This window comes from Homo sapiens, chromosome 7 (genome assembly GCF_000001405.40).
Source record: "Homo sapiens chromosome 7, GRCh38.p14 Primary Assembly".
NCBI lineage: Eukaryota > Metazoa > Chordata > Mammalia > Primates > Hominidae > Homo > Homo sapiens.
The window spans coordinates 27,917,839-27,942,930 of record NC_000007.14 but is presented as its reverse complement, the minus strand read 5'-3'; the positions used below and the strand labels follow the sequence as shown (position 1 = coordinate 27,942,930).

The 25,092-nt window shown below is 40.5% G+C and overlaps 1 protein-coding gene across 5 annotated transcripts in view, besides 1 other annotated feature; it reads left to right on the top strand.

The window, feature by feature from the left end:
* Positions 1-25,092, top strand: part of JAZF1 (JAZF zinc finger 1) — a 350,219-nt gene that overhangs the window by 237,865 nt on the left and 87,262 nt on the right. The window lies entirely within an intron of this gene.
* Positions 19,725-19,774: an enhancer, noted in NCBI's record as "active region_25793". NCBI's record gives its function as "activates an Ori minimal core promoter by ATAC-STARR-seq in GM12878 lymphoblastoid cells {active_cell/tissue: GM12878}" and the evidence as "EXISTENCE:reporter gene assay evidence [ECO:0000049][PMID:35858748]".

Genomic DNA, 25,092 nt, shown 5'->3' with positions numbered 1-25,092 from the left:
AGCGCCTCATCTTACTTCACTCCCAGCACCCCTTGCCCCATGCAAAGGCCAAGGCTTATGTTTCAGACCTGCCTCCTGCCCTGCTGCCTTTGCAGTTTGTCACAGCAGAGAGCCAAAAAGGCACTTATTGTTGATTGTTCCTTATAATTAGAGTGCCACATAACGGTGTGGGGAACATTTTCAGGCCGGTATCACCCTGTCCTTTTCTACTAAAAGCATTGTGGAGGTAATTAAAACGTATTGTGGTGTCCCCTCTGTTTTGAGAAGTGGGTGTTTTGGCTCTCAACTCAGGCCTGGGCTCTGAAACTTACAAGTTGTGGATGTTGCACAAGTCGTTTAACCTTTCTTCTCTTCTTTCCTCATCTCCAGAGGGAATATGCTAAGAGTAGCCACCTCATAGGGATGCTGTGTGGATTAAACAAAGTGAAGCACTCCCCATGGTGACTGGCACGTAGTAAATGCTCAGTTAAATAAATGCTACTCCATTTGCTATTACCAAGGCAGGTTGCAAAATGTTTGACTCAGGTAACCCTTTGAGAAGAGAGTCGTCTTTGCTTTTGAATTCTTTAAGACATTTGTACCTACAAAGGGGAGACTGCACTAAATGATCTGGGTAGGGTAGCTTTCAGCTCTGCTGTGTTCTCATCAGTTCTGACCACAGGGGTGAAGGAGGAAGGCTGCGCATAAGACATTGTGCAAGGTGCATGCAAGAGCTCCATAAATGGTACTTCTAGCTGTTGTTATCTGTTATCTTGATCATTAGGAAAGGAAAAGGCAAATGGGAAGAAAGTAAACAGATGCTCAGCACCTTCTATGTGATAGCACTCTGCTAGGTGTTTCTACATTTGTTACCTTCCATTCCCCTCACTCACCCAGCCCCCAGTGAGGTGAAATGGTGTTGCCTCCATTTTTCTGATGAAGTGATTTATTCAACGTCACACAGCAAATAAGTGAGCTGAAATTTGAACTCGGATCTGATTCCAGATTCCCGGAAAAACTGTAGAAATATGCAGTTCCTTGCCTGTCCCCTCCCCCTTACCCCACTTTCCAGCAGCTTCCCTCCTGTGGGCCGTGCTGAAGCTGGCATAAATTTCAAAACAGCTCATTCTTCCTGCTGGACAGGCCACAAGTAAGATGCATCATAATTAGCTGTGTCTGATTGCCCTCCTGTTGTCCTAAGCTGTAGCCCCTAATTGTATGGTGGTGAGGGTTTTGCTACGGCTAGTTTTATCATTTTGACAGTTTGCTAATAAAAGGTCATCACAGGTACAGAAGCACTCTGATTTACATATGGCAAGTAAAAGGGCTTATGGGAAGTCAGCATCCAAGGTAGGCCTGTGCATTTGTTGCTATTGACACCCATGCTGAGATTCCATAATTGACAAGAAATGCTATTATTAAGCAGGTCTGTTGAGATAATTAGCACTCAGGGTTGCATTTTTAATCGGACTTGAGTCAGATAATTTATCACAGCAGTAGCAAGCTGTCAGGGTCACACAATAAATACTCATTAAGGCTGAATAAAGATTAACTGCAGGCTGAAAGAAAATTAGGCGAAGTAGTAACATTTGATTTTAATATTTACAGTGCTAATTTGCACTGATATTGGCAAAAAGATCACATCCCCAAATTGAGCTCATTTATGAAGGAAAAAGGGAAGGGATGCTATGTTGAGATGCCTGAGTGGGAATCTTTTTAAAGCTTGAAATCTTATTCCTAATTGATTGCCAAAAATATTAATTTCGAAAGGCTCATTTGGTGCAGCTATTCTAGGAGCTTTGGTATCTCTGCATTAGTAAAATGACAACTCCAAACAGAAATTGTGCATCTTGAAGGCGTGCCTAATTTGTTAACATTAGTCAGATACTGCACTTTTAATTTAATGCAACTCACTTGTCTTTGTTCATACATGGGCAGTTTATGGCACTTCAAGTTAATTAAAAACACCTACCATTAAAACATGCAACATCTTTAAAGGAAAAAGGAAGTCATTTCAGGCCACTATATTACCAGGCCAAGACATTTATGTACTTGCTTATAATTTACAGTATACTAAAGATAGGGAACCAAGTGAGAACATTAGTATTTATGAATACAGTAAATTTTGTTGACAAAACCAGTGTAAAAGTTCAGATACAGAATCCACAGTAAATGTGCAGTTTGTTTATTGGACTGAGAGGCTTAGATTTTAATGGAAAATTAATTTTAAGGGCTGCTGCGCTGGTGTAAACCCCTTCTGATCGGAGACCCAAGACCCAGGCCGCCTCCACCCAAGTACGCCACCCACCCAAGATGCAGCAGTCAGTCGTTCTCGTGGACTGGTTGGCATCTCAGTGCTGTCATCAGACTTGAGGGATTTCAGCCAAATCAGCAGCATCATCAGAGAGCTTTTGTTCAATGCCTAATTGTGCCTGTAGTCGTTCTCTGTGAAACCATGCGGGCTGACTGCTGAGACGGCATCTGGGCATGTGTGTGTGCTGTGTATTGGAAATGCAGGCTGTAGAATAAGATGCATTACACTGAGGCAGAAGGACTGTGAGGTGAGTCTGGGTCACAGGGTGCATGAAGGAGCTAGAGTCAGGAGGAGCCAGGGTAAGGCTGATCACGGGGGGTGGCGGGGAGAGCACCCCCCACCACCACACCGCCGTGACCCGGCCCTGTGAAAGATAGGAGAGCAGAAAGGTGTCACCTTCTTCACCAGCCTTTCCAAGAAACTTATCTCAAAACTAAACATGAAGAGGCCTTTGTGTTCCAGGCTCACTGAGAATGGTACCGGGGGCATGCTCAGGGCTGGCGCAGCACTCTGTAGGGAGCAGGTGAGAGGAGGGCAGCAGGCAGGAGCCGGGTTTCTTCTTCCCAGAAGACAGGGAGCTGCTCACTGCTGTGCCGGGGCTCCTGGCCAACACCTGCAGTCTGGCCCTGCTGCCTGCCTCAGTCCTCAGAACCCTCCTCACTGGCCACGGCAGCCGTGGAATGGTTTTCAACCACTGTTAGCAAGCGGCAGGGTCACTTACATGCAAAGAGGAAAGCAGAGCCCCAGATTCCAATGTGTTCATCCCAATAAACATCATGTGTAGACCCCGTGATGAGAACCGAGGAGTGAAAACCATCTGAATTCTGAAGGGGTTTCTCATGAAGTGGAGAGACAGACCATGAGTGAGTGTGTTATAAAACCAGTCTCCCTATTGCGAGTGCCCAAGAAAAGCAACACATTAGGGTTGCTGATGGCAAGGTCGCATTTGGCTTGTGGCCTTACATACAGGGTCTTCCCCCTCTAGGAGGCCACAGCCATTTCTTCCCTACACTGGCTCATTGCTGAAGTTGCCATCCAAGGGGCATGGAGAAGGAAAAAAGCCTGAGGCCATGGATAACTGGCAGGTGGGACAGGGCACAGGGGCCATCTCACCCCAGGGACACACAGCTCATCCCCTTCTCTCCAGATCCAGGGGCCTCTAAAACTGGCTTGGGGCCCTCAGAGTATTGGGGGTATGGCAGGACCTGGGAACCACACCCTGCAAAGGAAGCAAGGCCTCCCTCCTGTCCTGTTGCCTCCCCTGCCACAGTGCTGCTTCTCAGCCTGCTACTCAGTCCTTCCCACCCCCAGCTGTGATTTCCACCTATTTTAGCTTAGCTGACTATCAGTTCATCTTTGCTGAGCTGTGAGATAACTAAAGGTTTTTTCTCCCAGGAGTTTTGATATTTTAAGCAGAGAATTCCTGATAACAAAACCATTCCTAAAGCTCCAAGTAATGAGCCTCTAACCATATCATTTTGAAGCAGGAAGGTTTGCTCTGTGCTCCGTAGACCTCATGGCCAGCTGCTACTTGGCTCTGCAACACAAGGTGTTTTAGAGAAATGGCCCAAGCTTCAGATTTCTTGCTAAACAGTGATGGTGGCAAAAGCGGCATCAGTCATGGAAACAAGTGAGAGCCATTCTCCCTGAAGGGGGCAGAAATCAGTATTTTCAGTTCTTTAAAACAGAATCATTATGGCCAGCCATGGTGGCTCACATTTGTAATTCCAGCACTTTGGGAGACCAAGGTGGGTAGATGGCTTGAACTCAGGAGTTTGAGACCAGCCTGGGCAACATGGCAAAACTCCATTTCTACAAAAAAAAAAAAAAAATAGCTATTCAGGAGGCTGAGGTGGGACAATTGCTTGAGCCTGGGAGGTGGAGGTTGCAGTGAGCCATAATCATGCCACTGCACTCCAGCCTGGGCAACAGAGCCAGACCGTATCTCAAAAAATCATTAAAAGCAACCAACCAACTATTAACAATAATGGCTGCTACTTACTGAATAGCTATTACCAGGCACCATTTGAAGCACTTTGCATTGTATTCATTCAATCCTCACAACTGTATTATTCCCATTTCACACATGAGGTAACTGAGGCACAGAGATAAGTACCTTGCCCAAGGCTGTAGCACCAGTGAGGTGTGAAGCTGAGTTTAATATGCCCTGGACCTCCATGAAATCGCTACAGGACAAAGAGCTAGTCAATAGATGAATGGGCCAGGACAGAGAAACAGATTTTCAGAGGATTGTAACATAGACACAGATGCTTTGGTGTTTTGTTTTTGTTGTTTTGTTTTTCCCAGGGAAGAGGTAATGTTGGAAAGTTAAGAACAAAACAAACCATGCTCCTGGATACAATATAACCTAAGGATTCTAAAGAGAAGAGGACATAAAATAGCGGGGCTCATTTGAGGATGGATGTTACCATTCATTTCAATAGATAATCATGAAACTTGGAAGAACCTTTCAAACATAGAGATTGGGTCAGGTTGTGAAATTGTTAAGAATTTGACCATGAAAGTGTTTGTGATAGAAAAAGAAAAATGGAAGTAACCAAAATATTCTTCAGTTTGAGATTGGTTCAGTAAATTGAGTGTATCCATCCTGTTTAAAACCATGAGGTAGATCTATATGTACTGACCTGAAAAGATGTCCAAGATCTATTGCTAAGTTTAAGAAGAAAAAAAAGTTGCTAAAGAAAATGCACCAAAAAATGCAATCCGGAGTATTTCCCAATAACTGACAGTGGCTGTTGGGATAGGACTGTAAGAATTTCCCTTTTTTACAGTATCAGTAATCCTGTGATGTTTGCATTTTTATGGAAAGGTATGTTGCTTTTGAATTCCAAAGAAAGAGATAGAAAACAGGTTTAAATGGATAGTTCTATTGACTCAGGTATAAGATTTCCTAATGGAATATAAAGCTTTTTCATAGCATATTGATTCTGTTGTTATACATCCATCCATAAAACCAAGAGGGAACACTGATTGCTTAATTTTTTTTCTTGTTTATAAGCAGTAAACCTATTCTACAGGTTTTTGAGTGTTTTTGAGTCAATAATTATTTATTTTTCAATTAGCACATATGCTCTTAAAGGAGAGGATCATATTTTGGTTATCTATAAGCAAACCAGAATAAGAGGATGTCATGGGAACATCCTAAAGGCAAAAGTTCAACAATACTAATGGCAACCGCCTCTATTGAGTGATTGCTATGTACTTCATTTAATCCTCACAACAGCCTGATGGAGGAGCTATTCATACTGGTCACCATTTTCCATTAAAGAAAATAGGCAGAGCTAGGGTAAAGAATGTGCACAGAGCTAGTAAGTGGTAGGGGGAGGTTTCAGACCCTGTATATGAGTTAGGCTTGTGGAGTCCTTTTTAAACATTAAGCCTATGTGCTTGCTTGAGGCGTAAATGTTGTGGACATAAGAGCTCTCTTCATAATGCACAAATCTCTTTGGTTTGTAAGATATATACCAAGAAAGGAAATTTGGCAAGGCTTTGACAACTCTAGTTGACACCAAGCAATAGAAGTGCATGAGAAAAAACCTAACACTGTTGGCAAAGCCTCACAAGAAAATCTAAGGATGAGTACAATGCTTATTTAGAGAAACAAATAGAGCAAAACTAAACATTAAAACTGTAAAGCCCAAGCATCTATTTAACTTGCTGTGTAATGGGATACTTAAACTTAGAGTCAGCAAGCATGTCTGTGATTTCAAATATTTGGCTATGATTAAAGCAGGAAAGGGTATAAAAATATGTTTAGCTGGAGCATGGAGCTCATTCTGGAGGGGATAATAAACAGGGAATCTTTGACAACAGCAAATAAATCAGAACATGTAAATAGAAAGTCTGGCCTTACGAGCCGTTTTATGCCATCGACAGGCAGGATAGATAATCAGGATAGACATGGGAGAGCATTTTAATCTTTACTACCACCATCTCATGTCAAAGTAAACAAATGGACAAAATAAAGCTGAAAGCTTATGTACTCTTTCAGGAATACTTTGTCCCTGAGTTTGTGCATTGGATATAACCATGTAGCATGCAGAGAGTGTGTGCTGAGCTTACCTTAGAGAGACTGCATAGATGTGTAAATAAAAAATAAAAGATTATTGGGTAGCAGTAAGGCCACATTTTTATTGTAGCATTTACACTATGTCCACTGCACTCACAAAGAAACTCACTAATCCAGTTGAAGCATGTTGGTATAGACACGTATGAGGAAGAGAGTTGGCCAGTCTGGATTCCACTGGCAGCTGTAGTAGGCATGTTGTGGAAGACCATGCTAGATGAAACTGTTAAAATAAGTGGTGGTGGTACTTCTGGTCACCAGAGAAAGCATGTCCTCTTGGCAAGCATGTATTTTTTCACACTTAGTTTTTCTTCCAGGCTCAGCCTGACTTCTCATTCTTTGTGTCATCTCTCTTTTCCCTAAAGTATTCCCTAAAGTAAAGGGGAAGAAAAAAATCTTTTCTTGTTCTTTAACAACATTTTTAGGAAAAAGAAATGAAGAATGATGGTTGTTGCTTTAACAATAGCGTTTCTACTTGCAGCTGTTCTTGTTTCGAACTTCCCAGGGAGGTGGCATGGAAAGCGGAACCAGGGCTGGGACTAGGGCAAGGCGCACGAGGTACTGGGAGTGAGCACCCTCTTCACTGGGGCACTCCAAGTACCTCACTCCTCACCCTAGTCCTGGCCCTGCATGGAACTTTGGGCGACCCAGCTCCTGGTCCCACTTCTGCTGCTGTGTGACCTCACCAACTTGTCATTGTTTCCCCCTTCAAAATTGGGTAGAAGAGATTTGCAAACTACAGGATCACAGAGGCTGTGCTTGGTTTATTTTTGTATGTAAACAATACCTTCTATTTTGCTGGGGGCTAGCAATTGAGAACTATTCAACTGAATGTAACAGCTTTGTAGATATAATTCACATACCATACATTTCACATATTTAAGTATATAATTCATTGGTTTTAGTATATTCACAGCACTGTGCAGCCATCAATACAACCTAGTTTTAGAATATTTTTGTCATCTCTCAAACCACGTACACATTAGTTGTCACTGCCCATTTCCCCACTTTCCCAGCTCCTGGAAACCACTAATCTACTTTACACCTTTATAGATTTGCCTATTCTGGATTTCATACACGTGGAATCATATGTGACCTAAAGTGTCTGGCTGCTTTCATTTAGCACGACATTTTCAGGGTTCATCCATGTTATCACATATGTCAGTACTTTGTTTTTATTGCCAAAGAATGTTCTTGTGTATGAATATGGCATATTTTGTTTATTAATTTCTCACTCGAGGTACAGTTGCATTTTGAGGATCCGCCAACTATTTTCCAAAGCAGCTGCACCGTTTAACATTCCCACCAACAATAGGTGACGATTCCAATTTCTCCACATCCTCACCAACACTTATTATTGTCTGTTTGATTATAACCATTCCAGCAGGTGTGAAGTGGAATCTCGTTGCGATTTTGATTTGCATTTCTCAAATGACTAATAATGTTGAGCATCTTTTCAAATGCTTATTGGCATTTGTATATCTTCTTTGGAGAAATAACTATTCAAATCCTTTGCCATTATTTAATTGGATTATTTATGTTTTTATTGTTGAGTTGTAAGAGTTCTTTTTATATTCTGGATACAAGTTCATTATCAGATATAAAATTTGCAAATATGTTCTCCTATTCTGTGGGTTGTCTTCACTTACTTGACGATATCATTTGCAACACTAAAGTTTTAGTTTTAACGAAGTCTAATTATCTAGTTTTTTCTTTTGTCACTTGTGCTTTTGGTGTCATATCTAAAGAACCATTGCCTAACCCAAAGTAAGGAGGATTTATTCCTGTGTTTTCTTCTAAGAGTTTTATATATAGTTTTAGCTCTTACATTTACATTTAGGTCTGTGATTGTCTTGGTGTATGAGTTCATTCAACTGAATTTTGAACCTTGCAAAATGATCCTTTCTGTAAATTGGATTGATTTCCGCCCCCCACCCGATGGGATATGGAGCCAAATATAAGTGCTCCAGAGGCTACCGCCAAGGTGTACCATCTGTCAAACTGCATTTATCATAACAATCTGGTACACTGTAATATATATGTTTTATATATAATATATATGGGGTGTGTGTGTGTGTGTGTGTATGTATGGTAAAATGAAAAATCCTCACTGGTTTTCAACCTTCATTTAGTTTTTATTGCTATTGAAATGCCCTTTAGGTGGTGCTATTGCATTTTCTCTCTTTTTCTTCCTTTTGGCTTTAAAAATCAGAGGGTTTACATCTTGCTTTGGTAAACCACGTAATTTACTAGAGAAAAGCCTTTCACCAAAGTAGAAAACTAAAATAACTGCATTTAGATCACATTTACCTGATATGGCTTCTTCAGTTGAAATTCTTGAAGACATTATCCAATGAGTATCCTTCTCCAACTGGGTTATTTTGAATGTGCACCCTGACTAACAAATGAGCATACTGGCTTCTGAGAACTGGTTGCTCAACTGTAAGATCTCCATGTGGAATTAATGATCATTTCCAGCTCATACTCTTTCAATTTCCATGCGGCTAATGAAAAAGTAAAACTTTCAAGTGGTTGACTTCCTAAATGGAAGTGCATTCTTTATGTTGGCTGTTTGCAAAATGCCTCTTCTGTTAAGAAACCTGTGTACAGTTTTTACATCTCATTTCCTGGATTATCTTTCCTGTGCCAACTCACAGTGTGGGACATTAGGAAATGGTATGCCTTTTTTTTAACCACTTAAAAAATTCCCAGGAAGGTTTTTTTCCACTCCAACCGCCTTCCCATTATGTTCTGCAGTCTGCCAAGCTTGCCAGAACTCAGCAGGTAGCCCACATGGTATGCATGTCTGTGTGAGAAAGCTCCCCTGATGTGGACAAGATGTTAGTTGTAAAATGAAGCCAACATCTTGTCCACAAGTGTGCAAAAATACAGTATATCCACAAGCAACAAGGCCTTAAAGAATATTTAGCCAAATATGGCTTACTAAAATTACTCTGTTGTTGTAAATGTGATTCAAAGATCAAAACTGCTAAATCTAGAGAAGAAAATCTATAGCCAAACAACCTGTTTTGTTGGCACCTTTTCAAAAACACAAAACATAGTAATATTTATGTGTGTTTTTTGTAATAAACTGGAGAGTCCCAAAGGAGGGCCTAGGAAGGATTTTACTGTAGACTATTTCCTACTGCAGAAGCAGCTCTGCTCATTTTCTAGACCTTATATTTCAGTCAGTTCTTACCCTCTCCATGCTTGGAGTATTATTTTGGGAAAATCTCTGCTTAGCAGTTATTGGTCAGCTAGTGATTGTTTGCTATTTTTGAATTCTCCATCTGTATTCAAAATGCTCATATCACATCATATATCCATTTAGAATATAGATTGAATGTTGTCTTTATTAAACCCTCTACCCCTAATTTCAGAGCATTATTTTAAAAATGTTTAATCATCTTTGTCCTGCTTTTACCAGGGACATCTATACATCACTGAGCCCATTTTCCTCCGTTGGAAAATTGAATTAATAATACCCATTCCACAGAGCTGTTTATAATGTCCATCCCAGTAACATTTGTAAAGCATCTCCTGGCCTGCCTTTATGCTCAGGGAATGACAGCCATCGTTACCAGATCTTGTATATCATCTTTACACATGTCTGGTGCAGCCCTTTCGTATTTATACGCAATATCAAAAACATCCTAAAGAAGCATAAAAAAATTATAAGTATGAAAAAGTATGTAAGCCTTAAGGCTAGAAGAAAAGAATCATTGTTTTTCAGTAGCCTATCCAGTCACCACACACGTAAATAGTTCTAAATCTCTTCAGCTTATAGGTTTGCAGGAGTGTGAGTGAGGAGTCTGTTGAATATCATCACCAAGTTCATTTTCACATCTTGAAAGACTTTGTTTTTTGTCTTCAGTCTCGGTTTACTTCTAGCTGTCGTTATTTAAATAAAAGATTAGTTTGAAGTAAATGGATATACATTAAAATGGTTTGGGATAAACAATGTGTAACTAAAACCTTCATTTAAAATCTTTCTTTTTAAAAGTCTGTATTTCATGTTGCGAATCATAAATTTATTTATTGTTTCCAGCTGATTGAGAGCACAAGATGCACCCTCTCTTCCACCTGCACCTAGATTATGGATGACTGTGTCTGTGGCTTTACATACCAACAGTCCTCATAAAGTATTACATTATGATGTGGGAGCACCTATCAAACACCAATATTTTTCTCAACTGTGACAGGCTATAGAGCCAAGATTATGCTACTTCAAACAGCATTCTCATTATACATGGATTTACACACAACACATGCCTCCTTTCATCCCCAGTTGGACTTGAGAACAGTTGGGGGAAATGTCTTAGGTAACTTACTGCGTTAGTCCTATCCAACTCCAGATGACCTTCCCAAACCTTGGGTTTCTCTTTCTTTCCTTTCTCACTCTCCATACACATAAAACTCTTCTCTGTTTTTACCCGCTTTTCCTTTGGCTTATTTCTCCAGTCCCCCAAACCTTGTTTTTAAAAAAATTAAAATAGCCCACGCTATTAGTTTATCAAACGAGTTCCTGCTCAGGACTGAGCCCATGATGAACCAGGGAGAATTCTTTCCAAATACATTCAAGAAGTCACCCAAACCTGATTTTTTTAATTTTTTTATTTTTTATTTATTTATTTTTTCGAGACAGGGTCTCACTTTGTCACTTAGGCTGGAGTGCAGTGGTGCGATCTTGGCTCACTGCAACCTCTACCTCCCAGGTTCAAGCAGTTCTCCCAGGTTCAAGCAATTCTCCCAGGTTCCAGCACGTCTCCCAGGTTCAAGCAATTCTCCCCGGTTCAAGCAGTTCTCCCAGGTTCAAGCAATTCTCCTGCCTCAGCCTCCCGAGTAGCTGGGATTACAGGTGTGCACCAACACGCCCAGCTAATTTTTTTGTATTTTTAGTAGAGACGGGGTTTCACCATATTGGCCAGGCTGGTCTCAAACTCCTGACCCTCAGGTGATCTGCCTGCCTCAGCCTCCCAAAGTGCTGGGATTACAGGCATGAGCCACCACGCCCAGCCTCCAAACCTGATTTTTGCCATCATGTGCAAACACACACATTGCTGTGCCAAGGTATCCCAAATTCCCACATGCAGAGTTTATTCTTGTAATGTAATAGTCCTGTGTTTTTTGTTTTGTTATGTTTTGTTTTTTTAGGATACAGCTTTTAAAGACTGGTTTTGTAATTCAACAGTTAGGTTCCTCCACACCAGCAACTGGCAAACTATGACTTGTGAGCCAAATCTGGCCCTCCACCTGTTTTTGTAAATAAAGTTTTATTGAAACACAGACATATTCATTTATGTATGAATTGTCTATGGTTGCTTTCACACTGTCATAAGAGTGAAGTCATTGCAGCAGAAATACTCTGGCCCACAAAGCCTAAAATATTTCCTGTCTGACCCTTTACAGAAAGTTTGCTAACCCATGCTCTACATGTAATCTCATTGTAGATGGCCTTCTGGAAGGCAAAGATGTAATTACTGCACTGAGAAATTCTCCTTTGCCACAAATTTACAGAAAGGACTTGGCCAAGTCATTTAATCTACTTAGATTTAGTTTCACATTCAGTAAAGATGTGATTTTTAACACTGGCTTTTTTTCTGAGAGCAAAGTGATGGGAAAACTTCAATTACTGGTCATATAATACCACTGTCCTGCTGATGGCTGTGTTATATTTAGCATATTGTTTTGTCAACTTATCTCTTCCTTTTTTTTTTAAAAAAAATGGCTGTCTATAGGATAAAATTATTTGGAATATTTGGGCTATAGTGGTAAGATATAAATATAGTTTCTTAAAAGAATGCAAAATTTAGATTATATGAACATTTTCTTAGTGGTAGAGCAAAAACCTACAATTTTGAGTTTTTATGAAAGTGTCTAAAAATAACTGAACAGTTTTTTCATGAAGAAAAGTTTAGTCTTTCCTTTTTAAAAAATATATCACAAAACCAATAAAACTATCAAAAAGTGAACATACTTGTGTTGTATTGCCTTTTCGTATGCTGTAAATGTGCCTGTTTTCATTAACCTCAGTGTGACCACTTGAAATGTGTTCTTCTTGGGAGAAAAGGACAAGGTTGGAATGTTCCAGAGATACTGTCAGGGAAAACAGTGGTCAGGTTTGCAATAACATTTTCTCATCTTGTTCTTCGTAGCCATTTTCTTTATATTTTCATGTAAGATACATTTTAGTATTGTAATAACTGTGTTCTGATCAAAAAGTAATATATGTTCATTATAGAAAATGCAGAAAATTGGCCGGGCACGGTGGCTCATGCCTGTAATCCCAGTACTTTGGGAGGCCAAGGCGGGCGGATCATGAGGTCAGGAGATTGAGACCATCCTGGCTAACACAGTGAAACCCTGTCTCTACTAAAAATACAAAAAATTAGCCGAGCGTGGTGGCAGGTGCCTGTAATCCCAGCTACTCGGGGGGCTGAGGCAGGAGAATGGTGTGAACCCGGGAGGCAGAGCTTGCAGTGAGCCGAGATCGCACCACTGGACTCCAGCCTGGGCGACAGAGCAAGACTCCGTCTCAAAAAGAAAGAAAGAAAGAGAGAGAGAGAGAGAGGGAGGGAGGGAGAGAGGGGGAGAGAGAGAGAGAGAGAGAGAGAATGCAGAAAATATGGAGGAAGGGATAGAGAAGGAAATAAATTCTCCCAAAATTTTGCTCCCCAGAGATAACCACTGTTGATATTTTGGGGTATATCTTTCTAGGCTTTTTTCCCACATATATTACATGCATTTTTAAAAATTGCTATTATACTGTCTTAGGAATAATAATACTGCCATTTATTATTTGGCTTCACTCTGCGCTTTGCAACAGCTTAATCACTTAATCCTGACAGCATCCCTCATGTACAGATGGGATAAACCTCATTTTACCCATGAGAAATTTCACCCAAGAGGTTAAGTCTTTTGCCCAAAGTCACACAGCTCATGCCTAAACTCACATTCTTAGGTACTGTATGTACTCTTCTACCTACAAACTTCTGCTTACAGTCAATAAGCTAAAGTGCTTGTAACTGGCAAACTAAGTAACTTCTTTGTGGTTAAGGTACTATTTAGTAAAAGTGGTTCTTATACCCTGTAGTGAAGGTTTTCATTGAAGATTCCAGGCTGACCCTCACTTCATTCTGTGAGCCTGGATCTCCTCCACAGGTCTGCTGGACACACTCCCTGGCCTGCTGGCCACCAGATCTTTCAGGGTGGCCGCCACTTCTGCTCCCTCCCCCTGCTGGCCACAGCACCCGATATGCTGTGGGCATGCCACAGGCCACGGGGCAATGCTGCCTGCCCACTGGAGCCACCCTACCCTAAATCACAGGGAAATATTTTAACCACTAAATAAATCAGAAACCAGAATATAGCAGCTCCTCTAAAGGAGCTGGCTCCTAGAAGACTGCTTTATTTATTAGTTTTGAAGAGGAGTCCAGAGGGATAAGTTGCTTAGAATACTTTCAGTTGCAAGAAAACTGAGTTGCCAGTTTAAATCAAATCTTGAACGTGCCCCTCTTGCCCAGGTTAGATTTTGAGCCTGTAGGTGAGCATCGTCCATGCCCTTCCTGTCACCAACTGCCATGTCCTCTGTTTTTAACTTTTAAGTCCAGGGGTACATATTTTCATATGTACATATGCAGATTTGCTACATAGGTAAAGTGTCATGGGGGTTTGTTGTACAAATTGTTTCATCGTCCAGGTACTAAGCCTAACATCCATTAATTATTTTTCCTGATCCTCTCCCTCCTTCCACCCTCCGCCCTCTGACAGGCCCCAGTGTGTGTTATTCCCCTGTATGTGTCCATGTGTTCTCATCATTTAGCTCCCACTTATGAGTGAGAACACGCAGTATTTGGTTTTATGTTCATGCGTTACTTTGCTGAAGATAATGGCCTCCAGCTCCATCCATGTGCTTGCTCTGTTAGAAGGCTGTAACTCAAAAATGTTTAAGAAGGGTACTTGCACAATACCTAAGATGGGCACTAGCAAAGAACAAAACAAAGAATTAGTGTCCTTTAGAGCATACTATATCAGAACTTAACAAAAGCAAGCTTTTAAGAATTGTGTTTTCTTCTTTGTTAGAAGGCAAATCTAAGATTGACTGCGACATCCCAGTCGTAAAAGGCCTTGCCTGCAATTGGCTTTCCATTGGGAAACCCAATAAAAATTTGTTAATGCAATGTGATTCAAAATTACTATGAAAGTTAAGAATAATAAAGCTGAACCTAAATAAAGTGCTATTAAATGTGTTTATATCTGTATTAGGCTTAAGCTGCACTGGCAATGAAAAGTTTCTACTTTTCATTGTTCAACAGTTTCAAATGTACCAGAAAATGCTGGCCAAAGACTATTGCCTAACTGAAACCAGATAGGCCCAGACTTCCAAAAGCTATGAGAAGAAAATAAATCCCTCTGTTCAAAATAATCTGAGCATTTTAAGTATAGCCATCACATACCATTTGGCACAATTTAGTACAAGTCTCTGTTGCTTTTCAGTAAATATATAATTAAATAAATACAAATGAACTATTCAAATAAAACACAAACATGTTGACGTAAAGTTATATGACCTCATGTTGCATGTGGGCCTTGTAGATTCAATTATTATTTCATTTTATCAAGTACATGTAAAATGAGACGTTTTCATCATAGGGTTCCTGAAAATTGATTTGGGGAAGAAATTCTTGCCTCTAGAATTTGCTCTGACCTTCTTGTAGGATACTAATTAGCATTTGGGGTGATTTAAAGGGTGCTGAGAACTCCTTACCCAAACAGCATTACCATATCTACCATTATGAATTATTTTTTTGGTAACTTCTCTTCATAGTTCTTTTTTATATTTTTATATTGCAATATAAAAAACATCTCTTGTGAGATGTTATTCAAATGAGAAATATAGCTTGATGATTCTATGAGGCCCTTGCCCACAAAGGCTTATAGTTTACTTTAAAAAGCAGAGGGAGGCATTAAAATCTCACTACTTGTTAAATACTATATACCAGACACAACTATAAGTACTTTATAGTTATTATATGATTTAATGCATACAACAACACTATAAGGAAGATACTATTATCCTCATTTTACAGATGAAGATACTAAGGCACAGAGATGTTGAGAAACTTGTCCATTGTCACAGAGAGTAGATGATCAAGCTGGGATTCAAATCACAGCAGAAAGGTTTCGCAGCCCATCCTCTTAATGTTCCTAAGTGACCTTCCCAATAGTGAGAGTTTATTTGTTCATTTCTTTAGTAAATATTATAAATAGAAGTGCAGGGAAGAAATTGGGATGGGGGCTCCACAGGGGACTCCCAGCTGAGCACGAGAGTGCTGGAGCCACTGCCTCTGGGAATCCTGGGAAACTCTGAAGGGGGAGACAGAGCAGCTCCTGGATCTCCTGTGCATCCTCGGCTACTCAGTTACTCCCTTCTCCCTGTTCCTCAACTTCTAGAAGATAACAGAATCAGTTTGCAGAAAAAATTCACCCCATTCTTTTGCCCCTGGCAACACCATGAAGATGGAAGGGAGGAGTATGTCTGTCCATACAAATGAAGAACTCCCGGGGAGATGTTCTGTCCCCTGAGAATCTACAGTGATGTGGTCTAATCCCCTAAAGAAGAGGGCCAGGCTGCTGTTGTCATGATATCAATGCTGTCAATACATACCTGCTTCTAGAAACCTTACCTCTTTGTTGCCTCCTGCCACTACATTTGGACTCTGCCATACCTCCAATCCCCAACATGGAAGGAACTGGGAAGAGCCCCAGCCTGAGAGGATTCTTGAACTCCTCGTTCAAAAGAAGTGCTGTCTGTCAGCCATTCAGTGCCTCCATTCCTCAGTGTCCTTGTCTGTAAAATGAGTCTTGTAGTATTCTTTTTGTCTACATCACTGACTTTGTTGTGAGATTCACACAACATTTGTATTGACAAATATTTGTGGAGTGTGTTCATACGTTGAAGGCAATGAATGAGAGATGACAAAATAGGCTAGAGTGCTGATATGGTGACTTTTTCCAATTAGTAGAGCACCTGTATGTTCTTAGAAGAAAGTCTGATGTCTTCTTGACATGCACAAATTACCCAAGAACCCAGTGGTTTGCTCAGAGTCAAAAAGGTCAGTCTTACTTTATAGATGTTAAGGAAAAAGTGCGAGCCAGGACCTGAATGGCTCTTTTTCACCATCTCCCTTGTACAGTGTTGCTGTTGAAGGTATGTCCTGCCAGTTCCAAGGATTAGCTGCTATTTGGGGGGTTTGCAGGTCCATTTATGGCTCACACCATGGTAGATCCTTATGTGGGCCTCTCTTCACAGCTTTGTTTCATAATTGTACTCTCAGCCAAGATTTCCCCAAACCCAAGTACTGTGTCCAGGAAGATGGTTACAAAGGAGTTTCTAACTCATCATATACTCTTCCCAAACCAGCCTTCCTCTCCATCTTGAGCCTGTCCTTAAGATGTCCTGTCTGTCTTGAGCCTGTCCACACTCTGCCTGCCCTAATGATAACATCACTCCCCTTTGGGGACTCCCTTATCATTCATGCAGAGTGGTTCACTTCCTTCCAAGTATTCAGCTCTGCATACCACAGGGGACTCTCCAGGCTAGCCATGGTGAGGTTTCTAAGGTTTTTAGTACACCTTTCTTTGTAACTACGGAGGTATCATTCAAGTGGCTTCCCAGAAGAAATGTGATCTGCATCCAGGTGACCTCAATAGATTCCTAGTTGTAGGAGGGGCTGCCATGATTTTTAAGAACTCCTCCGATGGGTGTTTTGCTTACTCTGCAAAAGACACATAATACACAACATCCAAATGAATATTGGCCTTGGGCTGGGCACATGGCTCATGCCTGTAATTCCAGCACTTTGGGAGGCTGAGGCGAGAGGATCCCTTGACGCTGGGAGTTCGAGACCAGGCTGGGCAACATAGCAAGAGCCTGTATCTAGAAAAAAATTAAAAATAAAATGAGTGAGGCACGGTGACCCATGCCTGTAGTCCCAGCTACTTGTGAGGACGAGGTGGGAGAATCACTTGAGCCCAAGAGTTAGAGGCTGCAATGAGCTATGACTGCCACTGCACTCCAGTCTGGGCAACAGGACGAGACCCTGTCTCTAGAGAAATAAAATAAATGAATGTTGTCTTTTTAAAAAGTACCACACTGGGGGATGTTTACCTGACCTGTTTCAATGACTCTACCATTGCTCAAAATATGTTTTCAGCTGCTTTTTTGGCATGGCCTTCAAAGATAATTTCAAATCTCATGAAAGGCTGAGATTCTATTTAGCTTCACCTTATTTGTTTTGGGTAAGTTTTTGCTGTGTGGTTTTTACTTTAAGGGGTTCTGGGAGCTGAATTACCTACATTATTCTCCAAACTTGACTACAAATGGCCTTTGGCTCCTCAGTGATAGTTACCACCCTTAGTGATCTTCCATAGAAGTCCAGGTATTTTCCAAAGGTGTTTTCAATAGGAAGTCCAAAATGTTTTTGAGTAATAAAATGGCAGTGCAGTAGAGTAAGTACATATATCCTCCTAAGATGGCAGCATTAAAGGGAATAACCCTATTTTTAAAAATATATGTCTGGCATTTGTCTTTAGCTAGATTGTAGTCAGTCACTGTGTGTTGGTAAAGCACTGTGTTCACGATGGATGTCATGTTGTGTTCCAAGGGATGCTAGACTTGTGCTTACTTACAGAGAAACTAACTCACCATTGTCTTAGCAGAAAACAAATTAAAGCAGCTTTATGCGGATTTGCCCAGAGAATGCACACATTACCTTACTGGATTCATAAAAATGAGAAGAAAGTTTTAATGGCATTCATTTTTCTAGGTACCTTCATATGACAGCAAATTGAAATAGCATTAGCTGCCTTCTTGCTGGCTTCAAATTACAGAATGACTCAGTTGTCTAAATAATCATTTTAAAAAATCAGCCCCTTTTCTGACTTTCCCATGAGAAGCAGCTTTAGAAAAATGAAAATATACTTCATGGGTACTAATTCATTTTCTCTTTCACTTAACTTTGTGAGAGATTGTGAAAAGTTTTTATGCTCTTATTATAGTGAACAAAAATTGTATGAAATGTTCAGTTTCTGAAATACCTAATTGTCAGAGCATTTCTGAATTTGGCTGCAGACAAATGGTCAACATTGTCCTTAAGGGCCTATTAAGATTGTGAGCTGGGCACACTGGCTCACGCCTGTAATCGCAGCACTTTAGGAGGCCGAGGCGGGTGGATCATGAGGTCAGGAGTTCAAGAGCAGCCTGGCCAAGATGGTGAAACACCATCTCTACTAAAAATACAAAAATCAGCCGGGCATGGTGGCGGGCGCCTGTAATTCCAGCTGCTCGGGAGGCTGAAGCAGAGAATTGCTTGAACAAGGGAGACAGAGTTTGTAGTGAGCCGAGATGGCGCCACTGCACTCCAGCCTGGGCGACAGAGCAAGACTCGGTCTCAAAAGATTGTGATACAGCTGCCAGAGGAGAAAATGATCATGAAAACTGTCCCACCATTTTCAGTCCCCGTCCCCATCCCACAAGAATACAGTAAAGGTGGCATTTCTTGTGCCCAAGTATAAGGCCCACTCATAATTTGTGAGTGAACGTTAAACAACACTTCATACTCAAACTAATTCATTTCTGTTTCTTCCATTAACCCTGGACAAGCCCATCCCTGCCAGATGGGTTGCATTTTACATCTCCCTCAGTCTCATAGTGCTCAAAAATTGGTTCAGACCTTTCTCAGGTTTAAGGTTAGCCACTAAATCATGTCACTGTGGTGTTAATTTCCTTCCCTGTGCTGACGATATGCAAATACGTTTGGCCTAATCCTCATCACCTGTCCTCTCCTAGTGTGCCAAGTCTGCAAGCAGGCGTTGGTGGGACAGGGCTGGGGGGCTGCAGGGGGAATGGAGCAAGAGGAATGACTGTAAATGTTGGCGGCGCCAGCCCAGCCATGCTCCCATCCGTTGGCAGCCCAACATCTGCTGGGAAGTGTGCAGTTCCATCCAGTCAGCCACAGCCTCCCAGTAGGAGATAAGCCGGATGAAGGAGGCTGAGTCTGGCAGCGGATTCCAGGCCTGATAGAATAATGTCTGACATTCAACTCTGCAAAGTTGGGATAGAGTGTGTGGAGACGATCCCACAGGAGCCACCAGCTGGCCTGTTTTAACTTTGGCTGTTGACAGTTCATGCCGAGAGCACTTGTTTCTGAATTCAACAAATCTGGAAACTCGACGTTTTAATTTCGGGTTTTCGTTTGGAAGAGTCATTTTACTGGAACCCAAACCCTTGCAGACATTACCCTAAGGACATGCTGGTCTTGTCTATACCACTGAGTAGAGAAGACTAGAAAAACCTCCAACACCAAATGGCTGTCCTTGGGAAAAGCAGCAGTCAGTTATGCTAAACAACCACAGAAGGCATGGTCTTAGAATGTCACCAGAGTCCCCAGGGAGCTGCTGAGGCTCATCTGGAGACTGCCGCCAACAACCACAGCCTGGGTTCTTGCCTCCAGACCACGGCCTCCTCATAACTCCCTTCGGGTCCTTAAAGAGACCCTGTTAAATGATTAAAATGCTGTGGAAGGAAATTTTAACATATGCAATATCTGATTCTTTTCATCATCATATCACTTCCCATTTCTTCCACTTATCCTGGCTTCTAGGCGAATGTTGATCATAATGTTTTACTGCCAGGGTGAGGAACTTTGAGGAGACGGCTCTGGCACCTCTGTGAGTTGTTAGAAGCATGTATCTCTGGGTGCTCCAGGAGGTTTATGAGTTACCTGGCACAGATTAAACTCAATAAAAGGAAATATTTTGGTCAAATGCTTCCTCTTTTAAATTAATACTCTCTTGACTATTATGCAAAAAAAAACCCATTATTAAAAGCTGTTAGTACTTTTGCTGACTTGAAAATATTAGGAAAAATTTTCCTATTAAAAGTTATTTTGCTGACTTTAAGTTATTTGGTTATTTTGCTGACTTTAAGAATATTTTATAAGGCCTGGCGCGGTGGGTCATGCCTGTAGTCCTAGCACTTTGGGAGGCCGAGGCGGGCGGATTGCCTGAGCTCAGGAGTTCGAGACCAGCCTGGGCAACACCGTGAAACCCCGTCTCTACTAAAATACAAAAAATTAGCCAGACATGGTGGTGTGAGCCTGTAGTCCAGTCCAGCTACTCAGGAGGCTGAGGCAGGAGAATTGCTTGAACCTGGGATGCAGAGGTTGCAGTGAGCTGAGATCGTGCCACTGCACTCCAGCCTGGGCGACTGAGTGAGACTCCGTCTCCAACAAAAAAAGAATACTTTATAACCAACATAAAATGTGGTTCGAAAAGTACCATCTAAATGAAAATCAGACCTTATTTATTTGTTCTGTTTGTCTTCAATGCACTTCCTCATTTTTATCTTTATGTATTTCTTTCTGTAATGATTTATATCCATTTCATCCAAAAAGTTTAAAACACAATATAAAATGCCCTGTAAAAATTTATACTAAGTTCCCTAAAACACTTAAGAAATTCACTGAATTTTTCTAGGCATACACTTCATTCATTCGAATGAAAACTTGGCTGAGGAAATCATAGAGTTCGTATAACTGACTTCTAATTTCTTCTTCCTTATACCTAGGCTTCTAAAGCCCAGGTGTGATATAAATTCTTTTTTTAAAAAAATACTTTTCTATTTTTGTAGAGACAGGATCTCACTACATGGCTGATCTTGAACTCCTGGTCTCGAGCAGTCCTACCACCTCGGACTCCCAAAGCACTGGGATTGCAGGCTTGAGCCACCATGCCTGGCCAGAAATTGCATTTTTAAGTGAACAGTTCAGAGCCCTGTATTTTTCATGGATTATTTTAAGAATTACGATGATGATGAAGATGATATAATCCCTAACACTGCAACCCATTATGAAGTTACCAGGGGCCCTCCAAAATTTTGCTATCAAGGCAACATCCCTTAAACAAGTTAACAGAGATGCTCTTTTTCAGTGAGTCTTCTGGAAGAATCGATGCCAGTCTGCCCTTATGACAAACATATTTCTTAATGAGATCTGATTTACGAAGTTTTGACAATTATGCTTTTCCCCTCTCTTACTGCCACTTTAAGAAAAATCATGCTGGTAAGCTACACTACAAAACTTCTGGCCTGCAGAGGGCTCTATAATACCATATTTTCCTAGACAACACTTGTAAAAAGGAAAAAAAAAAAAAAAGATACTTGCTGGAAGGGGGAAGGGGAAGCCCAGAGGCTTTATAATGCTTCCAGCAGGCAGTCTGGTTGCAGTCTGGTAAACAGACTAGGAATTGTGGGCAAAGCCCTTTTCCTTGAGTTTTCCACCAACCATGAGATCAGATGACTCTGTCCGGACTCATTACTTTAATAGCCTACAGCTAGTTCACATAGCAGCAGGAGTCCACCAAAAAGGCATTTAATTATTGAAACTAAAACTGGTACTTGTAACTGCCGGTTAGTAGTAGTCAGATTTTTTCAGTATTTCAAGTAATTTATAAAGCGCTTACACACATAAATAGAAAGCTTTAAATGCTGGTATTCCATAAAAAGTAAATAAAATATATTTTTGTGCATTAAGACTTAATTAAGTGGCATGATTTCATGTCACAAATTTAAAACGGGCAGGTGAGACTTGCCAACATTACTACAGCTGTGTTTTACATTAGGAAATTAATTAAAATGGTCGTTTATGCTTTTTTCCACTTACGGGTATTTAGACCTCTCTATTACACCATATATTTTCCCTTCAATCATTATATTATGGTAATTTATCTTAGCAGGTGATATCTTACTCTGTTGTCGGCGGAAGTGGGGAGCATTAGTCAACTAAAAAATTTGTGCTGGGCTACTGAGGCAGATCAGACAGCTGGAGGCACTTGCTGCTGGCCAGGAAAGAAGAGGGTCTTATTCACATGCTCCCCTTTTATCCCATCTTAGCAGAATTTATTTTCTATTTCACTAGAACAAAGTTTTTTCTGATGTCAGGATGGGAAGCAGAGGAAAGCAGAAAAATGTTTGACACGCCATATGACACATCGTCATATAGACTTAGCTGTTACATGAGACCTTATTTTTGAAGCCAACCTGCTTACACAGTTCAGTTATGGAATGTGCAAAACCTAAAACCAATTAAAACATGCCCAAGTGAATAGTTGATATGCAGTTTGTAATGCAAATAAATAATGTCCTGATTTTATATATCAAAGCTAAATAAAGACTCCCTTGAGATATCAAGAACAAATCGATCACTCTGTACTTATTTACTGCAGTTATTTATGTTAACAATTATAATAAAATTATGACTTGATGAAGTTTTAATGATGTAAGTAATTTTGCTCCCCAAGAGGCATCAGTTGCCAAATGAAGCTGAAGTTTTAAGGAACGCTAAGGACTCACTGTACTAAAACATCACCATAGTGCCTTTAATATTGGATGTACCTTACAATAATGTGGATTAGTTTTGGGTCAGGGCCAGGAGCTTTTGGTTCCTCAAACACCAAAGGCACTTCCCTTAAGGCATTCACTCCTGTAAGAGAGTCCCTTTAGCTTGGATTCTAAGGGTAGCAATGAAGGAGGATTCCAAGGTGCAAGCAGTAATACAACTTGCACACAGAGTAAACTCCACAAGTTGTTGATTGTAAAGTTGTTTGGAAACCAGGATTGAATTTGCCTCTACATACATTGTCATTAGTGATATTTAGATTTAGAGCCAGTTCCCAGCTAGTACTTTTTGAAATGATTACGTATTAATTATTTAATAAATGGTGTGGGTAGAATTGGACTGCTGGTCCAATCTTCCTTGGCGTTCCAGAGCACTCCTGTAGTCAAATAGCACAAAACTGAGCTTGCTCCTTCCTTTTGTAACCATAAGTCACCCCTCTTTTGTATGACTTCACCCAAGCAAATTTGGCACTATTGTATTGATTATAAATATGTTATTTCCTGTTGCTACCTTATCATCGTAAAATGCATCCTCATGCTTGTTCTGTGTTATCCAGCTCTGATAGTTACATTTTTGACAAGATAAGCAGCTACTGAGCTTTAAGGCATTGTAGACATGCTTGCATTTTCCGTTTACCTTTGAAAAATTAAATGACTTTTCTTTAACTCTCATCACAGGTTTTAGCATGAATGACTTATGATCTTTATTCCTTATTGGTTTATTTCTCCAAATTTTCCCATTTTAGTTTCTATTCACAATGGGGGGCCAGGTTCAAAATATTTTTCTCTCCTAAGAGCTCAAAAATCATAATTCTTCAAAATATCATTTTACATTTCATGCTAATGAGATAGTCTACACACCTATGTTGAGCATTTCCTCTCCTAAGAGCTCAAAAATTGTAATTCTTCAAAATATAATTTTACATTTCATGCTAACAAGATAGTCTACCCACAGGTGTTGAGTATTTAAAGTTGCCCATTACTAGGACCTGTGTTTCAGTGCTACCTTCATCACTTAGTAAGCAAGGGACCTTCAGTCAGCCTCTTAACTTTTAAGAACCATGATACTTTGCATGCTTGAAAGCACAAATCTGAAGACAAAGGACTAGGCCAGATAACATCACAAAGTCCCATGTTTAGGTTATTGGTGTTAATGAAACTTAGGCTGTATTTCTTTTCAACAATCAATGTCATTTCCCATATTTAAGCAGCAATTTAGTATAAGCTCACCAAATTTTGTTTTAAATCTCACTAGCTGATTTTTTTTTTCTCTTATCACCACTGTTTTCTCTTCTCCTTAATTCATTTTGGAAAGAGGGAGTGAACAGGACATGTATAGTCAGATTGTTCAGAGAAATGGAAATTTGCACAGGTGGTAAAAATTGCCACAAGCACAGTTAATGAAGCAAGCACGTGGCTACTTGCAACTCTGCTCTCAAATTTTCTGTATAACTCTGCAGCAATATGTGCTCAATAACTGCCTGACTGTGTGCAAATAACACATGGAAAAGTTGAAATACTAGAAAATATTGACATCCATTCTCCAGCTAGATTTTATCTAAAAACTACTCATTTTCCTCCTTTGCTCAAGATGGTACAAAGATGCCTACAACATGAACTCTGCCCTCCTAAGTCTCTGATATAGTCAGTGAGGTGATACTAATATATATGGGCAATTATAAAATAAGTGCTAAACCTCGTGATTTTTCTTAGAGTTGCAATTGTTGTTCACACAAAGAGATAAATGTTGGCTGGAGTGATGATGAAGATGTAACTCAAGCCAGAGCTTGAAGGGTAATCAGGATTTTTTTTAAAGGGGCATTTGAGCTTAAAGGAAAAAAACGAATAATTAAAGTGCAGTATAAAAGTTTTACATCCTTTGTATTAGGATGGGTTTGATTATACTGCAGTAACAAATCCCCAAATTTCAGTGACTTAACACAACAGGAGTTTATTTTTTGCTTACTCTGCGTGTCCACCATGGTTCATTAGAGAGGCCCTGCTCCTTCACTCAGGAACCTAGTCTGATAGAAGCTTTATCTCAACCCACATTCTGTAATCACTATAGCAGGAAGTGCCACTGTAGTTCATCATCGCTTGTGCATTCTCTAAATCAAGTCATCTGCCCGTATGTAACCTCAAGGGGAACAAAGAAGTGCAGTACCATCATGTGGCCCAAAAGTGGAGAGTCAGAAATATGTGGGAAAGAGCATCAGTGACTGCCACATCTTTCTGTGTAATCTTTAGCCAGAATAC